The 22,429-nt window shown below is 44.8% G+C and overlaps 1 protein-coding gene across 1 annotated transcript in view, besides 1 other annotated feature; it reads right to left on the bottom strand.

The window, feature by feature from the left end:
• The window catches only part of OC90 (otoconin 90), a 35,167-nt gene that overhangs the window by 6,541 nt on the left and 6,197 nt on the right, over positions 1-22,429 (bottom strand). Inside the window, exons 3-12 of the mRNA NM_001080399.3 lie at positions 15,062-15,127; positions 13,677-13,733; positions 10,769-10,943; positions 10,288-10,400; positions 8,239-8,367; positions 8,034-8,075; positions 6,682-6,732; positions 4,025-4,078; positions 2,283-2,408; positions 1,125-1,296 (exon numbers count right to left, since the gene is read on the bottom strand). Coding sequence (NP_001073868.2) covers positions 1,125-1,296; positions 2,283-2,408; positions 4,025-4,078; positions 6,682-6,732; positions 8,034-8,075; positions 8,239-8,367; positions 10,288-10,400; positions 10,769-10,943; positions 13,677-13,733; positions 15,062-15,127 — 985 coding nt within the window. The remainder of the gene's footprint in view (positions 1-1,124; positions 1,297-2,282; positions 2,409-4,024; positions 4,079-6,681; positions 6,733-8,033; positions 8,076-8,238; positions 8,368-10,287; positions 10,401-10,768; positions 10,944-13,676; positions 13,734-15,061; positions 15,128-22,429) is intronic.
• Positions 14,116-14,667: an enhancer, noted in NCBI's record as "OCT4-NANOG hESC enhancer chr8:133057119-133057670 (GRCh37/hg19 assembly coordinates)". NCBI's record gives its function as "activates a minimal SCP1, AML or CMV promoter by ChIP-STARR-seq in naive H9 embryonic stem cells {active_cell/tissue: H9 hESC(naive)}" and the evidence as "EXISTENCE:reporter gene assay evidence [ECO:0000049][PMID:30033119]".

The following is a 22,429-nucleotide window of genomic DNA, read 5'->3' on the forward strand; positions in this document are numbered from 1 at the left end:
GATTTCCTTCACTGAAAATCTCAGAGGTGGATAATGAAGCCGGGATGGCTGACAGGTAGAGGCAGGGGAAAGAAAGTGGATGGGTAAAAAACACAGCCACCCACACATCAAACCTGCAGCTGACATACTCCATATTCCTGCCATTACTGTGTCCTTTGTGTTAGCTATGACAAGCTTTGTCTTTCTGTGTTTCTAAAATTCATCAATAGCTGCTGATTTTGCTTTGGCAACCATACCATCCGAGAAGGACATGTGCCTTTTGAATGCAGGTCTCTCCATTGGCCGTGGACAGGGGCTGTCCCCATGTGCAGTCTTTAAACTTGATCAACGCTACTTTGAGAAAATTCCTCAAACTCAGGTTGAGTGCTCCATGGTTTCCTCTGTTTACCCTACTGTATTTATTATATTGGGTAGTACTTTTGTTTAATTGTCCATCTCTTTCATCAAATAAGCTTCCATTGGGCAAAAATAGTTTGTTTTATGTTGCTTTGTGAAGGTTGAATCATTGTTATATCTCTACCACCTGGCATAGTGGCTGGCACAGAGCAAAAGCTCAAGCGGTATGGGTTTGATGCATATTTAAACGAATGAATACATTAATAAGTGCATGAGGTCAACGAAAATTCTTTCAAGAGTGGTACACATGGAAATTACAGTTATATTTAAAAGGTGTTGAGAAAAGTTATACTTAAAAGGCTAATTTTAATGTGGCCTTCTGCAGGAAAAACCAAGTGGAGACCTCAATTCTACATGTTGGTTATTGCAAATTAGGTGGACTTGGGGTCATTTGAAGGGTATTTGCAGATTGGCCCTCTTGGGGTAGCTGGGCAGTATTTGTCAAAGTACTGAAAGGGCTCTAGGCCCCCAGATCAAAAGATGTGGATCTTTCTGGCTCTGCCTTTTCCAAGGTGAACGACCTCAAACAAGTCAGTCCCTGAGCCTCAGCTGCTCACCAGGAAAGTGGGCCTATGATGCTGTAGAGCCACCTGAGTGAGCTGCTGTGTGCACCAAGCATTTAGTGAGGCCCAAGTTTCAGCCTGGTGTCCAGGAGGGCTGTCACCACCCTCTGGTGCAGACAGCATCAGCACTACTACACCAGAGCTGTCACCGCTGGCTCTCCATACCTGTCTAGGTCATCCCTTGGCTCGCCTCTTCCTTCTTGTCCACAGTAACAGCCATAAGACTCAAATTCCTCCGGGCACCGGGATGTCAGACAAAAGAGCATCTCTCCAAGCTGTGGCATCACCTGCATGTTGTCCCCACTTCCCAGGTGCAGGAAGGTGAATCTGTCACAGGCTGAAAGGAACAGGAATTGTCAGGAGAGCAAGGACTGTCGGGGCAGCTGTCTCAACAGGAAGGCCATGTGAGCCTCCGGGTTGTATGTGGACAACTCTAGTCATGCAAAGGAACCCCATGTCTTACTCGTTGGCTCACCATTCTTCTGGGAAAGCTGTTATGGCTCATCCCCTGCTTGGGATGCATTGTCTTTCGGAGAGCAAGTCTTTTCTCCCTAGGCTTCTAATGCTCTATAAGACTCCTTATTAAATCCCCTTAAGGGATGGAGACTTGTCAGGACCCAAGATGCTGTTTGGGGCCACATCTTATTACTGAGTAGACCTGGCATCCTGGGAGCATCCCAGCTGAACTCTCATGGTTTCTGGTCGCATCAGGTTAGCACACCTGGCTGGGCTTGCCTTTCTCTCCTCTGCCTCTCCGTCTCCCCACTCCCCTCTCTTTCTCTGTCTCTATTTCTCTTCCTTCTATCCTTCCTCCTCTGTCCACAAATCTCAAATGCAGCTTTCTCCATAGCTCTGCTTTGGACATCATGGAAGGCACACCCAGATACTAACAAAGCCCCTCCTCTGTATGCCCAACAGGCCGTGGCCTCCTTGCAGGTGCAGGGGCTTTTTTAAGGCATCAGAGGGAGGAGAGACAAAGGGGGAAGATGTTCAAAACCCAAGTGCTTCATGCTTTCCAATAAAGCACGGTGTGGACGAAGCCAAGCTCTTTCCCTCTGGGCCAGTAAAAGTGGTGGCAGCACAAGGTCAGGGGCTCAGAAGACAGTGGCTCCTCCCCCCAGGCTCAGCCTCCCAGTGGCTGAGTGGCTACAGGCAGCTTACATCTCCTCTGAGCCTCAAGGTGCTCATGCAGTCAGGGGGATGATGTCTTCTCATCACACCCCCATGAGAAGGTCACAGTGTGAAAAGGTGGCCTACGGTGATTGTTCACAGCCTCACCAAAAGATCCCAGCAGCGGAGAGGACAGACACTGCTTCTGCTCACCTTTTTCAGTGGTCTCCTCAGGATCATTTTCAACAGATGACACTGCCAGCCCCAGAGATTTAATGCCAGCAGGGACAAGGGTTACAATTTTAGCTGTAACCCTTGTTGCAACTATCTCTGCAGATCCTGAAAATGAAAAACTTCATGATTCGGATTCAAAAAGTGGCTCAAGGAGAGATTTGCAGATGGACATACGAAAGCCAAATGCAAACAGATAGAACAACATAGTGTTAGGAGAATGTTCCTCAAACTGGGTTTGCAGATGTCCAGGCAGAGTCTTAAGAATTCTACATGAGAATTTCCATATTTTCTATGATAACCTTAACACTGTCGGGAGCCTGTGCTAGACCACCTGGATGACATCCCAGGGATGAGGACTCTGAGGCTCCCAGGCTTGTGTTTGTGTCATGTTTAGTATCACATGCCTGCCCAGTGAAGGGGCATTATGGCGCTCACAGCAAGTGAAGAGGTAAAGAAACTGATGGAGAAATTAAGGCGACTCATGATACACAACAAGGTAGGCAAGCAAAACAACTCCTGGAAGCCCTTATTTCCTTTTTCAAGTGCAGTAACAGCTTCTCTTTATTTACAGAATCCAGTGCAAGTTCCTTCCTGTGGTCTGCAAGGATTGCCTGTGACCTGGTCCTACCTGCCTTGCCATCACATCTCTTACCGCCTGCCTGACACTCTCTCTGGATCTCCCTTTGCTCTGATGTGTCAGTCTCACCTGCCCTCTTAGCTGGAGGCAGCAAAGTCTCCCATGCACAGGCCAAATCTCCAGCCTTCCCAGTACAGGGAAAGAGAACAGCAGCAGGCTCAGCCCCACCAATCTGCTGACCCAGGCTCAGTTCCTGGAGTATTGGGTAAGGTCTGGCATATTTGTGCCCGCTGGATTGCAGTCTTTCCCCAAATCCACCATATTGGTTTGCTTCGTGCATCTGGTCATCTACTTCCTCTTACTCAACTCCATTTCCTATGAGACTAAAGCCCTGTTGTAATCTCAGTCTCCTAGGTTTAACATCCTGCCCAGTTCTCCAATCCCACAAATAGAAGCAAGTTATCTAATTTCTTTCTATCATGTTCTCCACTGCTGGAAACTCACCTAGTCAGTGTAATAGAGTAGAAAGAGTTCATGAGTTAGTGTTAAAGAAATCTGAGTTTGAGTTTTAGCTTAGCTATGTACTAGATACATAACCCTGGGCAAATCACTTCACCTCTCTAAATCTTAATTTCTCCATTTGTAAAATTATATTAATAATACCTCTTTTGGTGTTTGAATAATCCTTCTAGCTAAATGCCTAGCAATTAGGAAATAGTCAGTAGTAGCTATCAGAACTGCTCAGTGAATGAGAAAATAGCCATACATCTAATCCAGGATTAAGACTCTCCAGCTAGAACGTTCTACAAGCCAAAGGAGATCCCAGAGCCCAGTGTCTGCTCTCTGCTGAGTCTGAATAGCCAGTAGCCCTCACCTCTTGAGGAGGAACTTTCTGAATTATTGGTGCTAATCTAATTTGAGATCCCCTCACTCTCTTTAGATCAGGGTGTTTGGTGTTAATCACCCTCCCTGGACCAGCTGCCACATTTGGGGAATAAATGCTTCCGATTCTTGCCCCATCACCTCCCATGCTGACAAGGTCATGGTGCATTTCATTTGGAACCCAGTTGATATCATAAATGTGTCAAGGACAAAGGACATAAATGTGTCATGAACATAGGCAGGTGGAGCCCAGTAGGCTTACCTGGAGGGGACGTAGCCCTAGCAGCTCCCACTCCTTCCTGATCGTGGCCTGCTTCTGTTCCCCAAAGAAGAGAGACAGCATGAGCATCCACCCCAGCCTGTCCCACCTGGGTTTCCAGAGGCTCTTCCCACCCACTGCACACAGGCAGCCATGTGCTCTTCACTCTGCCCCTGGCCCACTTCCCACCATGAGATTTCCTAAGAGAGCTGGTGAGACCAGGGCTGCTGCTGAGCCAAAGGGAACCCCCCAGAAAAACGCTTGCTGGCAAATGCAGCCACAGCTTGTCAGGCTGGAAGCAAGTGAGTTAGTGCAAATACTTTGGGAATGACAGCTTCTTTAGAATTCGGAGAAAAACTAAAAGAAAAGTACATTTTGGAACAGAGGAGCATTGCAGCACAGAGACAGCAGAATTGCGTGGTTGAAGTTGTTTGCTATGTGACTCCAGGAAAACCACTGAGCCTCAGTTTCTCTGTAAACTGAATTTGTTGTTATTGTTATTTGACAGTTATTAAGCTCCTACTACATGCTAGGTATGGCAGCAAGGGCTTCTTATATTAACTTACCACAGCCCCTTGAGTTGGTTCTATGCTCACCCTCATTCAGAGATGAGAAAGGAGACACACAGAAAAGTTAGGTCCCTTTTCCAAGGTCACAGAGCTAGGAGGCGGCTGCAAACCCAAGAAGCCTGGTTGAAGTTGGTATGCTTAACCACTAGGCAGACTATTTCACTTCTGGCTGTGCCACACGAAAAAATGTTAGAGATGGTGACTACTAAGTTCTTTGGAAAGACAGAAACTACCTTAAGTTTAATGTATTCAAAAATCAAGACTATGCTAGTGTTCTATGAAAACCAGGCTTTGAAATTGACTGATATGGACACAAATGCTCCATGAAAGAGGGAGATTCTGGACCATTCTAAACTGGGGCAGATTGTTCTATTCAAAAGCAAAACCTATAGACTCAGAACGAAAGGACTATCAAGCTGAACTACCCTGGGCAAATGACTCTACTTCTCAGAGCTTCTTGTTTGTCTGTAAAATGAGGATAGGCCTCCAAGGACCAGGGAAGACTAATTCAGAGGATGTTTGTAAGGGGCTTGGGAATGATATGCTGGCACATAGGAGGCCCTCAACAAGATCACTGCTCGTTAACCAAAGAACCCATTTACTTACTTATTCATTCTAAGTAATTGGCAAATAATTATCATTGATTTATGCTTATTAATAAAGGATCCATAGTTATTTACAAAAGCAGAGTAAATGGTTAGGTTAACTCTGCTGATGAAATTTTGGCCTAGATATTTTTAGGGAAGACAGTGTTCTCTATGAGCCACTATTTTATAAAGGAAAGAAATAGTCTTACAGCCTAAAGTCTGGGCTTGGAGAACAGCCCAAGTTACTTGCTGAGTGACTTGCAACTTTTATTCTTCCTGAGCCTCAGTTTCCTACATATTCTGTAAAATGGGTATAATAATATTTATTTCAGGTTCCATTAAGAAGTGGTCACAGGACTGAGCACAGATTTTTAGATATTTGAAATATTTCTCCACTGGATTCCAGGCTGTCCTTTTCCAAATTCCCCTCTGCTTACTTTTCTTGGAGAGAGTGATCAGTCTGTCAGCCTCAGTCTCTGCAGCCACTGTGAACAGAAATCACCCGATTTTAATGATCAGTTCAGCTAGGTGCCAAAGCCAAACAGGGGAAACAGATTTGGGGGCTGAGGATGTAAGAGAGGAGGCTTAGGGTAATCCGATCAGGGCATATGGCTGCACAATGGTGTTCACCAAGGTCTCAATTCAGTAGGAAAGGGGCCAGACTAGAGCCAGGCCTGTGTTTAGGCACAAAGACCGGCAAATGCCATCTTCAGGGGTGAAGGGCCATTATTTCCCTGAGGTTTGGAACAGGTCCCTGTGGGAAGGAAGCTTAAGAGAGAGTTTAGAAGGAAAAAGTCTCTAATCGCAGCTTTGCCACTCAGGTCTGTGTCTTAGACAATTCATCTCTGAATCTCGATCACCTGTCTTAAAATGGAGGCTGTAGCAATTATTCCATAGGCGTGTATAAGCATTAAATTAGATTATGTATTTTAAGCAAGCTGCCCAGTATCCAGCCTATGATTTGATAGTGTGTGCTGTTTTTTATAGCCACACCTGGGAGAAGATACTGATCTAGAATCTCCCCATGCTTGCTCTCATTTAATCCTTATGCCACTCTAAAGGATAGGTGTAATCATCCCCTTTCAGGGATTAGTGAATGATAGACTAGCTCTCAGCCTGTTTCATAAATAAAGTTTTATTGGAACACAGTCACTTGCATTAATTTAGGGGTTGTCTGTGCTGCTTTTATGCTACAGTAGCAGAGCTGAGCAACTGTGACAGAGACCCTGTGGCTCACAAAGCCTAAAATATTAACTGAGATAGTTTGGATATGTGTCCCCACCCAAATCTCATGTTGAAATGTAATCCCCAGTGTTGGAGATGGGGCCTGGTGGGAGGTGATTGGATCATGGGGATGGATTTCTCATGAATAGTTTCACACCATCCCTTCGGTGCTGTTCTTGTGATAGTGAGTTCTTGTGAGATCTGGTTGTTTAAACGTGTATAGTCCCTCCCCACTCTCATTGTGTGTCTTTGGGTTCCACACTAGCCCCTTCTGGCTCACCTTCTCCTGAAAGGGCTGTCAGGCTGGTGTCTGTGGGCTCCACAGGAACCACTGGAAAAAGAGAGTTCCCAATAGCAGTGACTCATGCAACACAGTGTCAAAACCAAGCACAGGGTCTCAAAGGAAAACAGGCTGGTTGCTGGCCCAAGGGAGGAAAGGGGCTGAGAAAGGGCTTACTAAGAAGAGCTGTTCATCCTGTCTTAGGAGTCACTTGCCCCTGTTACTCCTCCCAGAGCACGGAGTGCCCTGCAAGATCCCAGCTCAGGAGGGAGCACAGCCACAGCTGGGTTCAGGTTCAGATCCTGGCTGAAGGCAACGAAAGAACTGAAAACCCCAAAGATATCCCAGCTTGAGGAGACCTCTGTTCCAAAGGGAGGCAGGGGGTGTTGAGGATAAAAACAGTGCTGGACTCAGAAGATACATAGAGATATGACATGCACATAAGCACACACCCATACACATGCACTCACGCTCACGCTCATGTACACACATGCACACCCCCACACATGCCCATGCACACATCCATACACACTCATGCATGCACACATACACCTGCTTTCTCTTTAACAAACACCAAACACTGCATGACTAGTTCTGGGAGAGAGACTCCAGCTCCAGGAGAAGGATGCCCTGCCAAGGTGTACCTTGGACTTCTCATCCCCAGATGCCTAAAGGTGTTGGGACTGAGAGATCATGGAAACTGGTGAACAAGGAGTGGCAGGCATAAACCTGACTCCCATTTTTGGCAAGATCTATATTTTAGATTAGGAATCATCACTTGCTTAGTTCAGTGAACAGTTATTAAGCACCTACCCTGTTCTGAAAATAAACATGCGAAAAGCAGCCTCCCCATCAAAAAGCCTCTGTTGGACCCAGGCTGCCCCTTTTGCTGCAGGCGCTGGAGAGTGCGTGGAGAAAGGGGAGGAAGGGAGAGGAGGAGGTAGTGGGTCTGCTCCTGGGAGGCTGTGGCAGCCAGGAGCTTACTTAGTTAGGAGAGACTTCACTCCACCTGAGCACTACGTCTTGTCCCAGTCACACTACATACCAGGGCTCTGACTACAGAGTGAGAAAGGGGAGAGAATGAACTTGGGTTCTACATCCACACTGGATTAAATTCACACTTGTCCACACAGCATGGGGCTGAGTTTGCACTGGGGCCATTTGATGTTGGGCATTTGAATTGGGTTTATCAGAAGTAACACATCTCCTAGCCAGAGAAGGCAGGACCACTTCCAGTGTCACAGTCACTCCAGCTCCAGTGAGGCAGGCCTGGTGGAGGAGGTGTATCCACCGGCTCCCATCAGCATCTGGGCCCTTGTGGTTCAAGAGCCACCAACCCTGGGAGGCCTTACCTCTGGGCAGAAGTGTTGTCAAGTCTTCCTTGATGGTTGTCTCTGAAAAGAAAACACTTTGGAAAGTCTGTTGAGAGCAGTGGGTTTGAGGGAGGGTTTGAAGATGCTGGACTTGGCATCTAGAGACATGAAGCAATAATTGATCCCAAACCAGCTGCTGTCCAGATCCTCAGCCCCACGGCTGATGCAGCCAGGTTCTTCCTACCTGGAGTCTGAGCCAGGCAGAAGGAGGTGTCCAGAAGGTTCAGGGAAGAGTTGAGGCTGGATCGAGCCAAGCACTCTATGGCAGCCTTATCACAGGTACACAGCAGGTGCTCACAGTTGTCCTTGGACTCTGCACACAGCAAGAGCATAGCCAATTGGAAAGATCTCAGCTGGAATCCCAAGAGGTAATGCAAGCTCCAAGACTGAGTTCCTCATCTCCCCTGCCAAAAATCCCACTCCCCTTGCAATCTCCATCTCATTCATGTCAGCTCTTATCTCTTTAGGGGTGTAGACCCAAACGAGGTCCATACCCACTCCTCTTCTCTCACACTTGCACCCAGGGCAGCACTATTGGCTCCACTTTCAACATGGAGTCTGACCACATCTCCACACCTCCACTGTACCACACTGGGCTGAGGCCCTCTTGTCTCGTGCCTGGTCATGGTAGTGGCCTCCTAACTATGCCCCCAGCTTCTACCCTGCTGCTCAATCTACTCTTATCCAGGAGTCAGAACAATCCTTTAGAAATTCAGGTCCAACCATGCCTTTATTCTGTTCAGAACGTCCCAGCGTCTTCCCACCTCAACCTACAAGTCTCACTGTCACCTAGGAAACGTCACATGATTGCTCCCCTGACCCACGACCCCTATTCCTTCTCAGGCCACATCCTCTTCCACTCCCTCCTCATCAACCCATTTGTGTCTCACTGCTCCCTTATTTCTCAACCACAACAGGCCTCTCAGGCCTCAGGGCCAGTCCCTGAGCTGTTCCTCTGTCTGCTTTGCTCTTCTCCCATATATCTGCAAGGATGGCTTCCTGCCCATTCTTTAAGTCATCCTCAACCCTCATCATCTCCAGGAGGCTTTTCTTGACCTTCCCATTTAAAGAGAACCCCCCCTTTCCCTCCACAGGCCTTTCCCCTGATTCATTTTCCTCCACAGCTCTTGTCCCTCTCTAACATACTATACAATTTGTTTTGGATAGCTTCAGTGTCTGACAATGGTGAGGACATTCCAGAAGGTCAGGCTATCCCCAGCACAGAAGATTGTCTTGCATTGGTGTAGGTACACAATACATATACGTTGGGTGGATGAATGAATCATGTTTTCTGGGTTCACTGTGCCTCCCACCTAGTGGTTCACACCCACCTCCTCCCCTCAATTCCTCCTTGATGCTCCATACTCCAGCCAGTCCATGTTATATAGACTTGAGTGTTAAGTCAGATCAGGGTTCAAACCCTGGCTTTGCCCCTTTGCAGCTGTGTGGCTTTGGGCAAGTTATTTAAGCTGCAAACAATGGCCCCTTTCTAAATAGGGTTGTAAGGAAGATCAGAGTTTCTGTGTATAAGCCTACAGCACATAATAAACACACATAAAGTATGGCTGTAATATAGGAACCCCTACATGCTGTGTTCTGTCTTCCCTTCATGCCTTTGCGTATTCTACCTCTGCCAGGGTTGCCTAGAGACATGAAATAAAATTCCTGGAGTCACATAGCAAATAAGGCGGGAACTGAGATTTGAACCTATGTGTTTCTGATTCTTACTGGCAACCACCACCGCACGCCTTATTCACGTATCACTACTTCCACCTCCACGTCCATCTCTGAGTTCTTAACATATGTCGCTCCCTGTGCTAACCATTTCACAAGCATTGTGTAATTTGATTTTCACAACTAATCTCTGAAGTAGGTTTCTCCTCCCCTTTTTGAGGGTCAGAGGAGTTAAATAATTCTGCAATGCTACACAATGTGTAAGTAGCAAACAATTTGCCCTTCCCAAGGTCTCAGGGTTGTACAAGTATAAAATTGTAAATCAGATAACTTGCTGATCAGCTAATATTTCAACTCAAAAACATTTATTGTGCCTCTACTCTGTGAAAGATACAGATGCCATTGATCCAGCCCTCGTGGGGCTCTAAGTGCTGCCAACGATGCTGCCAGTGGTGACGATGATGTGAGAGGATCACAATGCCCTCAGCCTGGTCCAGGCTTGGGATCCCTGGACTGTCATTTCTGGGCCCAGGCCCCTGGGACACCTGGAGATGCTTACCACATATGATCTTCTTGCTGACACAATTGACCTCTGTGCTAAGTTTGGCGGGGTCTTGGAGACAGTCCATCTCAGCGGCCTCCTCATAGCACCTGCGGTGCTGGAAGCAGCAGCTGTAGGAAGGCCGGGAGGAGGCAGGGTGAGAGTGTGGGTTAGAGTGAGGGAGGGCAGGCAGCTCATGATCTTTCTGTGTCTCTGGATGGATCCTGGCAGTGGTCTATTTTAAATATTCAGTGCACTAAAATGAAGTTTTGCATAACAGACATAACATAGGATCTTAATAACTTTTTAGAGTGAGAGCTGATCACAGATGACATTGCCATGTAAAGATGAGTCACCCAACTAGTAGGTAGTGGAATTAAACCCTCTCCTGAGTCCCAAGTCCAGGGGCTTTTCTGTATTTGTGCTCTTGCCAAGGTATCAGCCAGGCCTCCCATGAGCTCACTTTTTTTGGTCTTGCTCACCTGTGGAACTCACTTACCTGTCAGATTCATCCACAGGCAACCCTTCCATCTCAAACCTGCAGGTGCAACCATAGTCTTCAAAGTCTCGGGGGCAGAGACCAGCCACACACTTCATACCATTGACAAACTGGATCAGCACAGGGAAATTGGTGAAGACAGCCTGCAGCCAGGTGAAGTGGGGGCCCAGGCAATCTGTGGGGGTGGGGGGCAGGGCCTGATAAGCACTGGGAACTAGGACTAGGAGGGCGTCCCTGTCCCCTGGACTTCCTATACCTCAGGCTGATGGTGCCTTATCAACCTAGTAAGCACCTACTCTGTAATAAAACTGTTTTAGACTAAGCCATCATCCCTGCTGGTTTTCTACCTAACAACCATTTAAACCTTCTTCCTTACTGACAAAACTAGAAAGTTCTTAAGGAAGGTGAGCCTTCTACCTAAGTTCCTTAGGGTATTTCATAATCACTCTCAGCTGGTCATGGTAATCCCATGTTACCAACTGATTGGTCTATGGCTGTGCATGTGACCCAGATTTGGCCAAAAAACCTTAAGGGAAAGTCTTTAAGTGTCTTCTGAGAAATATTTCTTTTCTTTTCTAGCAACGAATAAAGGCAAGTAGGAAGATCCTTTTGATCTACACCTTTTTTCTACCTTGAATGTGGATGAGGATGTGCTAGCTGGAGCTGCAGCAACCACATTATAATCAGGAGGCCCCAAGTCTAAAGTTGAAAAAACAATATGTTCAGGGTAGCAGTGGAGCAAGATAGACAGAGGCTGCTGGGTCTTTGATACCTGTGTTGAGCTACCACACGCATATTGGTGCCTTCACACCACTTGAGATAATGAAATGTCTTTATTCTTGTTGTTATTTTTTTAAAAAAATCAACTTCTATTATAGATTAAAGGGTACACAGGCAGGTTTGTCACATGGGTAAATTGATACTGAGGCTCGGGGTCCCAACAATCCCCTCACCCAGGCAGCAAGCGCAGTACCCAACCGGGGTTTTTTCAGCCTATGACCGCCTCCCTCCCTCCCTGACTAGTGGTCCCAGCGTTTATTGTTCCCGTCTTTATGTTCACGTGTATTTAATGCTTAGCTCCCATTTATAAGTGAAAATAGGTGGTATTTGTATTTCTGTTCTTGCATTAAGTCACTTAGGATAATGGCCTCAAACTCCCTCCATGCTAAATGCAAATCCAAACCACAACGAGACACCATCTCACACCAGTCAAAATGGTGATTATTAAAAAATCAAAAAACAACAGATGGCGAGGCTGCAAAGAAAAGGGATTGCTTAGACACTGGCTGGTGGGAATGCAAACTAGTTCAGCTACTGTGAAAAGCAATTTGGAGATTTCTCAAATAACCTAAAATAGAACTGCTATTTGACCCAGGAATTCCGCTACTGGAATTTTCCCAAAGGAAAATAATTCATTCTGTCAAAAAGACACATGCATCTGTATGTTCATTGCAGCACCATTCACAATAGCAAAGACATGGAATCAACCTAGGTTCTCATCAACAGCGGATTGGATAAAGAAAATGTGGTACAAATATCTTTATTATTTGAGTCACTATTAGTTCACTGAATGGATCCCAAATGATACGGTGATGACAGTATAAAACTATAAGCCAGTATGGGAAGAAATGTGGTACAGATATTCACAACTTTTGAGCATCCTTTAGGTGTCAGAAGCTGCACTAGGTGCTTTCACTGGCACAGTAATTCAGCCTGGCGGAGTGTGTAATGCATTGGAAAGCATTTGTTTTGTCTGTTGTCCCATAGGCCTCCTGTTAACCCTGTAAGGCAGATGTTTTCTGTCACTGCCAATTCATAGTAAGTAAACTTGCTTTACATTTCACAGTAGTAAACCGAAGGCCAAACACATGCCTAAGGCATCAACCAGGGATAATGATTTGCCCTAAAGTATACAGCAAACAAAATTGGCAAGAAAACCATATCAACAGTTTCCAACTCTAAATCTCGCATTCTCCTCCCCATTCTCTACCTTTCTGACTAGAGGATCCTTGAGTGCTGCATGGGTTACCCCTCACTACTGATTTAACATGCACAGGGTCACAAGACGGAGCTTAAGGGCATCAGGAGTAGTTTGTGAGGACCAGTTCCACCTCATACTATTCACCTCATTCAAACTTCCTTTCCCATGTTTTGTACCCACAAGACCTAATCAGAAAAATAAAGACAGAATTCTATGCTGATTGAAAAAGCAACACTAAGCTTTATGCATGTGTGTATTTATGTAAATATGCATTTTCATTCAGAAACTTACAAGGCACCTGCACTTAGTTATACAAACAGTTTAAGCACAGCCTTATGCCCAGCATGGCCCGACCCAAAAGTAATTCTGAGTGTCTTTGTTCATGTCAATCATATTATAGTCTCTTTTTTTGGTACTTCTAGTAGTTGATGATAGGAACCATCATAGTGTCCTGATAGTCACATAATAGATTTTCAGTTGATAAATGGGATCTTTGACACACTTTGACGTTCTTAAACTTTATATTTACTAGTGAGGGAAGAAAAATAAAACTACTTTGATGTACAGGACTAAGCTCTAGATTCCAAGGAGAGCTCCTCCCTTCTAGCTGGGTGGTCTTGGGCAAGTCACTCAACTCCCTTCGGTTGAGTTTCCTTTTCTATAAAATGGGGATACCATTCCCTTCCTGGAGAGTTGTGAGTCAGGACTAATGAAGTAAGGAATAGGAAGGCACATGGTAGCTCAGTGGCTCACCCTGCAATAAAAGACACCACTACTCTCGTCGGAACTTGGGTCTCCTTGTTGGGAGGTAGCTGTGGAGGCCATGGGAGCTCCGAGGGTTGAGACCAAGGCCCTTGCAATTTCCTTAGATTTGTCCACACATGCTCTGACCTCTGGTGGATAAAAGCAATTTTAGACTTAACTTACCAAAAATTTCAGCCACACTTTCCACATTTTTAAACATCCCACTGAAGAAAGTGATATCTAAGTGTAAGAAAGAAAACAAATGAGAGTCTTGGTTTTTCCTTTTTTTCACTTCCCTGTCCACCCTCTAGGTAAAGTGTACATAAAACCTTTCTTCATTCTCCAAAGAAAAAATTGACCTTGGGCTAAGCTAGCTTTCTACTAACACAGGTTACCATGGAAACCTGATAGAGATGAAATGTGAATTCCATTACTGGGTAGCATTGCACAATGGTACAAATGACCCCTGGGTGGTAAGGTATATCTGGACTGACAGGAATTATGGGTGAACTATAAATACCTGGTAGGAAATCATCATCTTGGGTCTCATTCAGTGTGATGACTCTTATAAACGGTCATCCTACTGGGTGTCCTAGAAATTATACCCACGAGGTCATTACTAGAGATACTGATTCCTATGGAGAATGAAGCTTCTAAGCCGGGGCTGGTCATACAGCTGCTCCACATAAGTCCCATTCTCTTGTACCTGAGTTGTTTGTTATCTGGGATCCCCAGAACTGCTGTGTAGATTGCCGTGAGGGCTACTCTTGCTGAAGAGGAGTGGCTGCCATGGCCTGCTGGCATGCTGTGTTCCTTAGCTTTGATTCTTCTAAATGCCAAGTGTGGCCTGTGAGTCTTAATGTCTAATTAAAGAAGGCCTCCTGGTGGGCATTGCACTTCCTCTAGAAGTTATGCCATTTGGAGGGAGGCCACTTTTCATTTGCATCTGAATGGGACTGATTACTTTGCAAGTATGGACTCACGCATGAATAATTTGGTTGACCCAACTCACTCCTCTGAAAGGTTGGAAATGAATGCTTGATTCAGGGCTGACATCACCAGCGAATTCACTATGCATTATGGTCTTCAGCCATGCCCACCTTCAGGGACCCACCTGAGAAGTGTTTATAAACTATCGCTGAGAAAATTTTCGCTTCCCCGGGAAACAAATATGGATCCTCCTTTTTTACAACCAGAGCAAGCAATATATCATTTATCCCTCTTGGTCTTGCCTTCTTGGAAGCTCAGAGCTCATTCTGAAGCTAAGATACAATTAATATATAACCTTCACGTCAGCCCATTTCCTGCCTTCTCCTGGTTTCCCTTTTCAGCTGACCTTTGTCTTTGACAGAAATTTTTAGACTTTGTCTCAGTTGTGAGAAAAAGGTTGGGCCAGACACCAGGGGAGATTGTTGGGGAGATGCTTTTGAGTCCCACTTCAATCCCTTTACTTACAAATGCCACAGCAGTGAGTGGCTCTAGGGTGTATTCAGAAGGGATCATTTTCTCTGCCAATATCCTAGACAACTTTCTACTCTGCTCCTAAGAAAAGTTCTAAGAATCCTTACTGATATTGTTTGGGAGTCCTGGAGGCAGCTCCTGTGGAAGATGTGGAGTGTCCAGAGGATGGCCTCCTATAAATAAGGAAGAGAAAGTAGGGTAAGCACAAACACTGATACAATTCACTTGCTGGACTAAGGCCAGAAGGCGACAGCCAGACAAACAATGGGAATTCACATAAATTCAATTCCATGCATATTTCCTAGAGCCTGCTATGCACTAGATTTAGGAGGTAGTTCCTGAAGGAAATAAGGGGATGGCTGAGGTAACCCTGATGTCTTATACTGGTAAGCCTTAACAGTGGCATTCTGGTTGGGGATGGAGAGGTTGGGAGACTTATCTTGAAGCCGTCTTTGTGTATGAAGCATCCTGTTTTATTTAGATTGCAGGTTTGTTTTGGACTTTCTTGACATAAAGCATTGGTGGAAAGAGGTAAATACCCCAACCCCCAAGGAGTTTATATAATAATAGAGAATAAGGGTTTTCCCCAGATTATCAGCATCAGAATCACCTGGGATGCAGACTCCGTAAACATTCTGATTTCTGTGCTCTCACTCAAGTTTGATTCAGCCAGTCTGGACTGGGACTCAGAAAGAAGCAATTTTAGCAAGCTCCCCAACTAGTTTTGAAGCTGATGGTCTCGAAACCTCGCCTTGAGAAATGTTACTTAATGGTGTAATAACAATAGTGTCCTAGTACTACCAGTACCCAAATACAACCACCACCTTCAGCCAAGACTTCATCATGCTGGGGGTGTGAAGATGCAGCCTGGGCTAATGGGACAAATATATGGGAGTTGGAATCCCAGGTTCAACACAGATTTGCTCTCTAAAAGTTCAGAGAGCTTATAGACTTGTTCCTGCTCATATTTTTCTTTCCCCAGCAATATAAAGCTTGTAAGTAGTTGGAAATGATCAAAAGGGTTTTGTCTTTCTTCGTCAAGTGGAGAGTTATGGAGTCAGCACTGTCCATCTGACACTGTGTAGAAGCCCCATCAATCTGAAAGTCACAAAGGGCCATCCTTCACAGAAGCATGTTAGACTAAATCTGTTCAGGAAGATGCCCCCAGGTGGTGTCTGAGTTGGCCTTGCTTGGCTTAGAGCAGGTTTCTCAGCTTCACATTATTGACATTTTGGGTTGTGAAATTTTCTGTTGCTAGGGATTGTCCTGTGCATAGATATTTAGCAAGATTGTTCTGTGTTGTATATTTAGCAAGATCCCTGGCCACAGATACCAGCAGGAAACACTTCCATACACACTTTCTTCTGATAAAACTCATTCCCTTGGAGTTTCCACAACGCATAACTGAGAGAGTCACTGAGGCTCGCCAAGTCCTTCCTAGTGGAGACAAAACCACCACTGGTGAGAGGAATAACAACAGTGGGTGCTTGTCCTTGCTACCAGTACCAGGACTGGCACTACCAATATACCATCCCACAAGGTTCCTCAAACTTCAGTCACTAGCATATTGCCTCTACTATTACTTATTAATGCGTATTTTTAAGTCAGCTCACTTTTTTTTTTATTAAAGGAGAATTTGATTTACTTTTCAATTATAAAAAAGTTTGTTTCATCTGGGAGTTACAGTGAGTCTAAATTTGTATGCACATAATAACATTTCTTAATGCAACATTTTAAGCCAACTCACTTTTTTGTTGTTTTATTACAGGGTAGTTTTATTTACTGTCCAATTGTAAAAAGTTTGTTTCATCTGGGAGTTCCAGCGACTCTAAGTTTGTATGCACATAATAGCATGATCCAAAATATATAAAGCTAAATTTGACATAATTGAAAAGACTATTTTAAATCTGTCAGTGGGAGATTTTAAAAAAATAAGCCACATTGCTTCTAAAAAGGTAAGTATTTTTACTTTTAAAGGAAACTTTTATTTGTAAATGGGAAACTATGGTAAAGTGCTGACTAGAAAGAAAAAAATAAGTTATAAAAATTGTAAAACAGTAAACATTTAAAAATTAGAATTATAAAATGGTCATCTATGAATTACCCACTATCATCAATGTACCCTGCTATGGTTTGAATGTATGTGTTCCTCCAAAATTTATATCTTCGTACTTAAACCTCAAGGTGATGGTATTAGAAATCAGGGCCTTTGGGAGGTGATTAGGTCTTGAGGCTTTGCATTCATACATGAGATTAGCATCCTTCTAAAAAGGCTGGAGGGAAATAGCTAGGTCCATTTGCCCTTCCGCACTTCTTTCATTTGAGGACATAGCACTCATCCCTTCTGCCATGTGAAGATAAAACGAGAAGGCCCTCACCAGACACTGAATCATCTGGTGCCTCGATCTGAGACTTTCCTGACTCCAAAACTGTTAGAAGTGAAATTCTGTTCTTTATAAATTACCCAGTCTGTGGGATTTTGTTATAACAGCATGGACAGACTAAGCTAAATTTGACAGAATTGAAAAGAAAAACTTTCAAATATGTCAGTGGGAAAAATTGTTTTAAATAAGCCACCTCGCTTTAAAAAGGGTAAATATATTTTTCTTTTAAAGCAAGCTTTTATTCATAAATGGAAAGCCATTGTAAAGGCCCAGGACCCAGGATCCACAGAAGGAACTGAGAGCAATTTGGGATGGTTGGAGTATGGAGACTAAGGCAGTCATGGTCCCAGCTGCACTAACCCACCGTGGTCCCCCAAATATGCCGCACATTTTCACAGTATTAAGTCCTGCTTTTGCCTCTTTCCCATTTTTCCTGACTGAAAAACCCTTGTCCTCTAATGACTCTATGCAACTTTTACCAAAACCCCCTACACCCTTAGCCACACTCTGCACCTTAGCTGTTTTTCTATCAGCGTCAATAACTATCATCAAGGGAATGGACAGAATGACTGGGGTCCTCGTCCTTTTATCTGGAAAGTCTTAAGGTGACTCTTTTGTCCCCACTCCCCCCTGTTTTACAGGTAAAATATCAGAGGTTTAGAGAGGTGGCACCTGCCACGGCCACAGAGCACAGCAGGAAAGGGAATAAGGATCAGTGTTTGGCCAACTTCGTCACAAGGGATGGCTGAGGCACAGTCTACAAGAGGGCAGCTGCAACCCCCTATGACCCATCTCACCAAAGGGCCTGCCTGCAGGGGGCCTGAGGCTGAGGCACCCACAGGGTGTGTGGGTTGGGAGCCTGCTCTTCCACCTGCTAAAGGTGTCTGTGTCCCCAGAGGTAATTCCATGATGAATTTGCTCCCCAAGATAATTCCATGGTGAAACAATGAGGTTGACGATGAAGGTAATGTCCAACAATGCAACCCATTTGTTAATGAAGAGGGGAAAGGGAACAGTGAACATAAGAAGCTGTTAATGATAATAGTAACAAATAACTGGCTTAACCTTTAAACACGTGTAGCATACCTTCTGATGTTATTTCCTTCTACCTTTACAACACTTTTTTGTGTCAATGTTATCAAGTCTTGCAGACCTATGTTTGTCTCCTACCACTCCAGTACTCCAAACCTTCTGTGATTCTCTAAGATCTCCAGCTTCTTAATGAGTAATCAAGGCTCTTGGGGAAGCAGCCCAGCCTAGTGATCATGGCTGGAAAAAGATCCTGTCCAACTAGCTACCTGCCCGAGGATCTCACGCAATTCAAAACTTGCGTCCTTTATGTTTTCACAGTGGATAAGTGCAGAGTAAAGGGCTCCAGGTCAGGGTGTATGAATGCATAACAGTTATTGTTTAGAAGGATATTAGGGAACAGGAAGGAGTGTTGATCTTATAGCCATGATATCTCCCACCCTTTCATTCTCTGAAGATGTAAAAGTGTGTCTGCTTTAAAGCAGCTTTTTGTTCTCTCAGAACATGGATAGTATTTTGTAAAATGCTCGCAATTAATAGCCTGACATACCTGAGGACTGACAGCCCTTTCCATATAATTTTTAGCTATATAACCTTCTTCACACCTTCCATTCCCAAGTTATTGGTTTGAGGTTGCATTTCTCAGCTTGAGCTCAAGCCAAACCACTTAATGAACAATTACCTGTTGCCATGGCCACGTGACATGGCTGTAATGTATCACAGATGATAACGTCTTCAGCTGCCATCTTTGGACTGCTAAGACGTGTGCCAATTCCATTATTTTGAACTATTTGTATAAATGGATGTGTCATTAGCATTTTCTGTTGCACCATCTCACCTCTACGTGATTCAAATTCACATAAAATATGACTGCATTATAAGGGTTTTTTTGTCCAACAGGCCTGACTTAAAACCTTACCTCTACCATTGTGTCACCCTAACAAGTCACTTAACTCTCAAAGCCTCATTTTTCTGTTGGATAGAATGGAAGTAATAAGCCTTACCTCACTGGATCATTACAGAAGCTTTCTAGGTAAAGGGGTCAACAGGAGCAAAAGCTGAAGGGTCTGGAAGCAGTTGGCTGTGGGGAGGGCAGACTGGCAGGAAAGAAGACTGCAAAGGGAGGAGGATATCAATGATGTGGACCCTGAAGGCCTCAGAGGGGTAAGTTGTGGAAGGTTCTAAGTAGGCACAGTGACGGTGGAGTCATAGGAAGGCACGATCCATGAAGACTTGTTCACTAGGGGTGGGTAACTTTGGAATCTGTCACTCATGTTCTCAGTAACATAAGCCTCTTCCTGGGACATGGGACATGTCCTACCTCTAAGTAAGATCCCAGGGATGTTCATGAAACTCACTGAAACCACCTCTGCCTTAAGGATTCTGAGAGGCTGCAGGGGATGGAAATAGACACTGAACATATCAGGAGACCAGGTTAGAGGCTTCACTTTCCTACATGCCGGCTGTGAGACTTCGGGCACGTGTTCTTTCCTCGTTGAGCCTCACTTTGATCCTCTGTAAAATGAGACAATTGTATCTGCCTGGCAAGATGCTTCCAAACACAAAATGACTCAATGTATACAATATAACTGCATAGGCCGGGCGCGGTGCCCACAACTGTAATCCCAGCACTTTGGGAGGCCGAGGCAGGCAGATCACCTGAGGTTGGGAGTTCAAGACCAGCCTGACCAACATGGAAAAACCCCATCTCTACTAAAAATACGAAATAAACTGGGAGTGGTGGCATGTAATCCCAGCTACTCAGGAGGCTGAGGCAGGAGAATTGCTTGAGCCCAGGAGGCAGAGGTCGCAGTGAGCTGAGATCACGCCATTGCACTCCAACCTGGGCAACAAGAATGAAACTCTGTCTCAAATAATAATAATAATGATAATATAACTGCATAATTCCAGGCTCATGGAAGATCTCAACAGTCTGCATTTGTTTTTCACACTGAAGAAGGGAAAAACAACAGGGTTTAAAGAGATCTAAAGATGATCCTATTCAGCCCCCACTCTAGAGATGAGAAAACTGTTGGATAGAACTTGAAGGCAGAGTAGGAACTGCTATCTGGGATTCCTGAACCCCAGCCAAGTACTCTCACTGTTATCCCTCTTCTGGCTATGCTGTTCACTGCAGCCCTCACACTTGTCCCTACATCCAACTTTATTTTCTCTGTTCTCCTTTTTTGAAGCATCCTTCACTCACCTATCTAACTCCTATCCAATTCCTGCCTTCTCTTTAGCCAAGCTCAAGGACACCTTCTACAATTATTCCTAGGCTAATGAGACCTTCCTTTTTTGAAGCTTTGGCATTTATGTGTATCATGGCACAGAAGAAAAAGCATGGGCTTTAGAGCACAACAAATGTGAATCCACATTCCAGCTCAGTAACTTCTTGGTTTTGTTACCAGGAGCAAAGTTCTATATCTCTCTGACTCCAGTCTTCTCATCTGTAGAATGGGGCTATTTGTGAGTTTATATCACAGGACATTGTGAGATTACATGAAATCTTACCAAGAGATAACATGAAATGACACATGGACTCCTGGCGGTAACATGTGGGAAATGGGGTCCAACTTAAGACCGAGGACTGTAGACCCAAATCTTTGCAGGGATGGGCAGATAATGTAAACAAGTAGCAGTCCAATGCTGGGAAGCAATAGGGAATGGTGGGGACTGTGGAGAACCAGAGAGACCCAAGTTACAGCAAGACAGGCAGTTGTGACTCAGCACCAGGGCTTGAGAAAGGAGTCTCACCATTTTTATTTTTCAAAAATTTTTTTTGAAATGTTAATTTTTTGATAAAATCTTCCAATTTTAAACTCTTGGCTCAAATTTAAAATAAAATGTTTTGTGGCCTAAACAAAACAGGCTGATTGTGGTTTGAAGGTGAAAGGAGGGTGCTTTGCTTTGGGTGTTTGTGAGGCTGCGTGGGACGGCTGGTGCTCCATCTAGGGGCAGGGATGGGAGCTGACCACGCATTTCTCAGGTTCCAGTGCCAGCCATGTATTCCCTTTGCCAGGTTTGCGGAATGGTTCCCATGAACAGGGAATTCCCTCCTGCCTGAGAACTACAGGCTTTGAGGGGACTGTGACCTGTAAAATGTAGACTTTCAGGCAGGGAGGTAGACTTGTGACTTCAGTTCCATTTGAGCCTTTGTCACAAAGCTCATGTACTTGCTCTGGCACATTTTTCACTGGGCATAATTGCCTTGGAAATTAATCAGCGTAATAACCAGCAGCTAAGAATATCTGCGGCCCACTTCAGCAGCAATAGTAAAATTTGCCTGTTCCTTGGCAATTACTATTACTGCACTCTATTCCTTTGTGCAACTGATAATTAAGTTCCTCTTCTGGAGGGTGGGAGATAATCTTATTACCTATAGATGTTAATAAGGTGTGCTTTCTCACCCACACTCACACTTACTTTCAGGATATAGACTCCCACACGTTATTATTAGCAATTAAAATAGTCACCCAGGATGTGAAACTCTTTATCCCCGAGGACTAAGTTAGTTCACTCACAAAGTCCAACAGTGCAGCTTAGGGAGATGCATGGTCAGAGGGAATGTAAGGACAAAACTCACCAGAATGACATTGATTCTGATTCAGTAAGCTTGTTACACACAGAAGGTGATGAGCACCTGTCCTGTTCCAGGAGCAGGACACTGCACTTTGCAGGCATCACCTTGTCTGATCTTCTCCTCAGTATTGCAAGGCACATTCTGTCATTACCATCTTATAGACAATGAAACTGAGACTCTTCGATGAAGCTATAAAGCTTTTTCTCACCCGGTACGTACGGCTTTCCTTGATCTGGCCCCTGCTGCCTCTGCTGAATCATCTCCTACCTTGAACTTCATGCTCCGGAGATACTGAAAAGCTTAGATTTTCTGGACAGCAAACTACTTCTTGCCATCCTGCCTTTGCTTGTACTGCACCCTGGGGCCTGGGATGCCTTCCCCTTGTCTGTTACCCTCGCATTACTGACTCTCACTGACATTTTATGGTTCCATTCAAAGTTCAAGGATCCCTGCCTGACCCCCAATCTGGCCTGGGTCAG

Source organism: Homo sapiens, chromosome 8 (assembly GCF_000001405.40).
Source record: "Homo sapiens chromosome 8, GRCh38.p14 Primary Assembly".
Taxonomy (NCBI): Eukaryota; Metazoa; Chordata; class Mammalia; order Primates; family Hominidae; genus Homo; species Homo sapiens.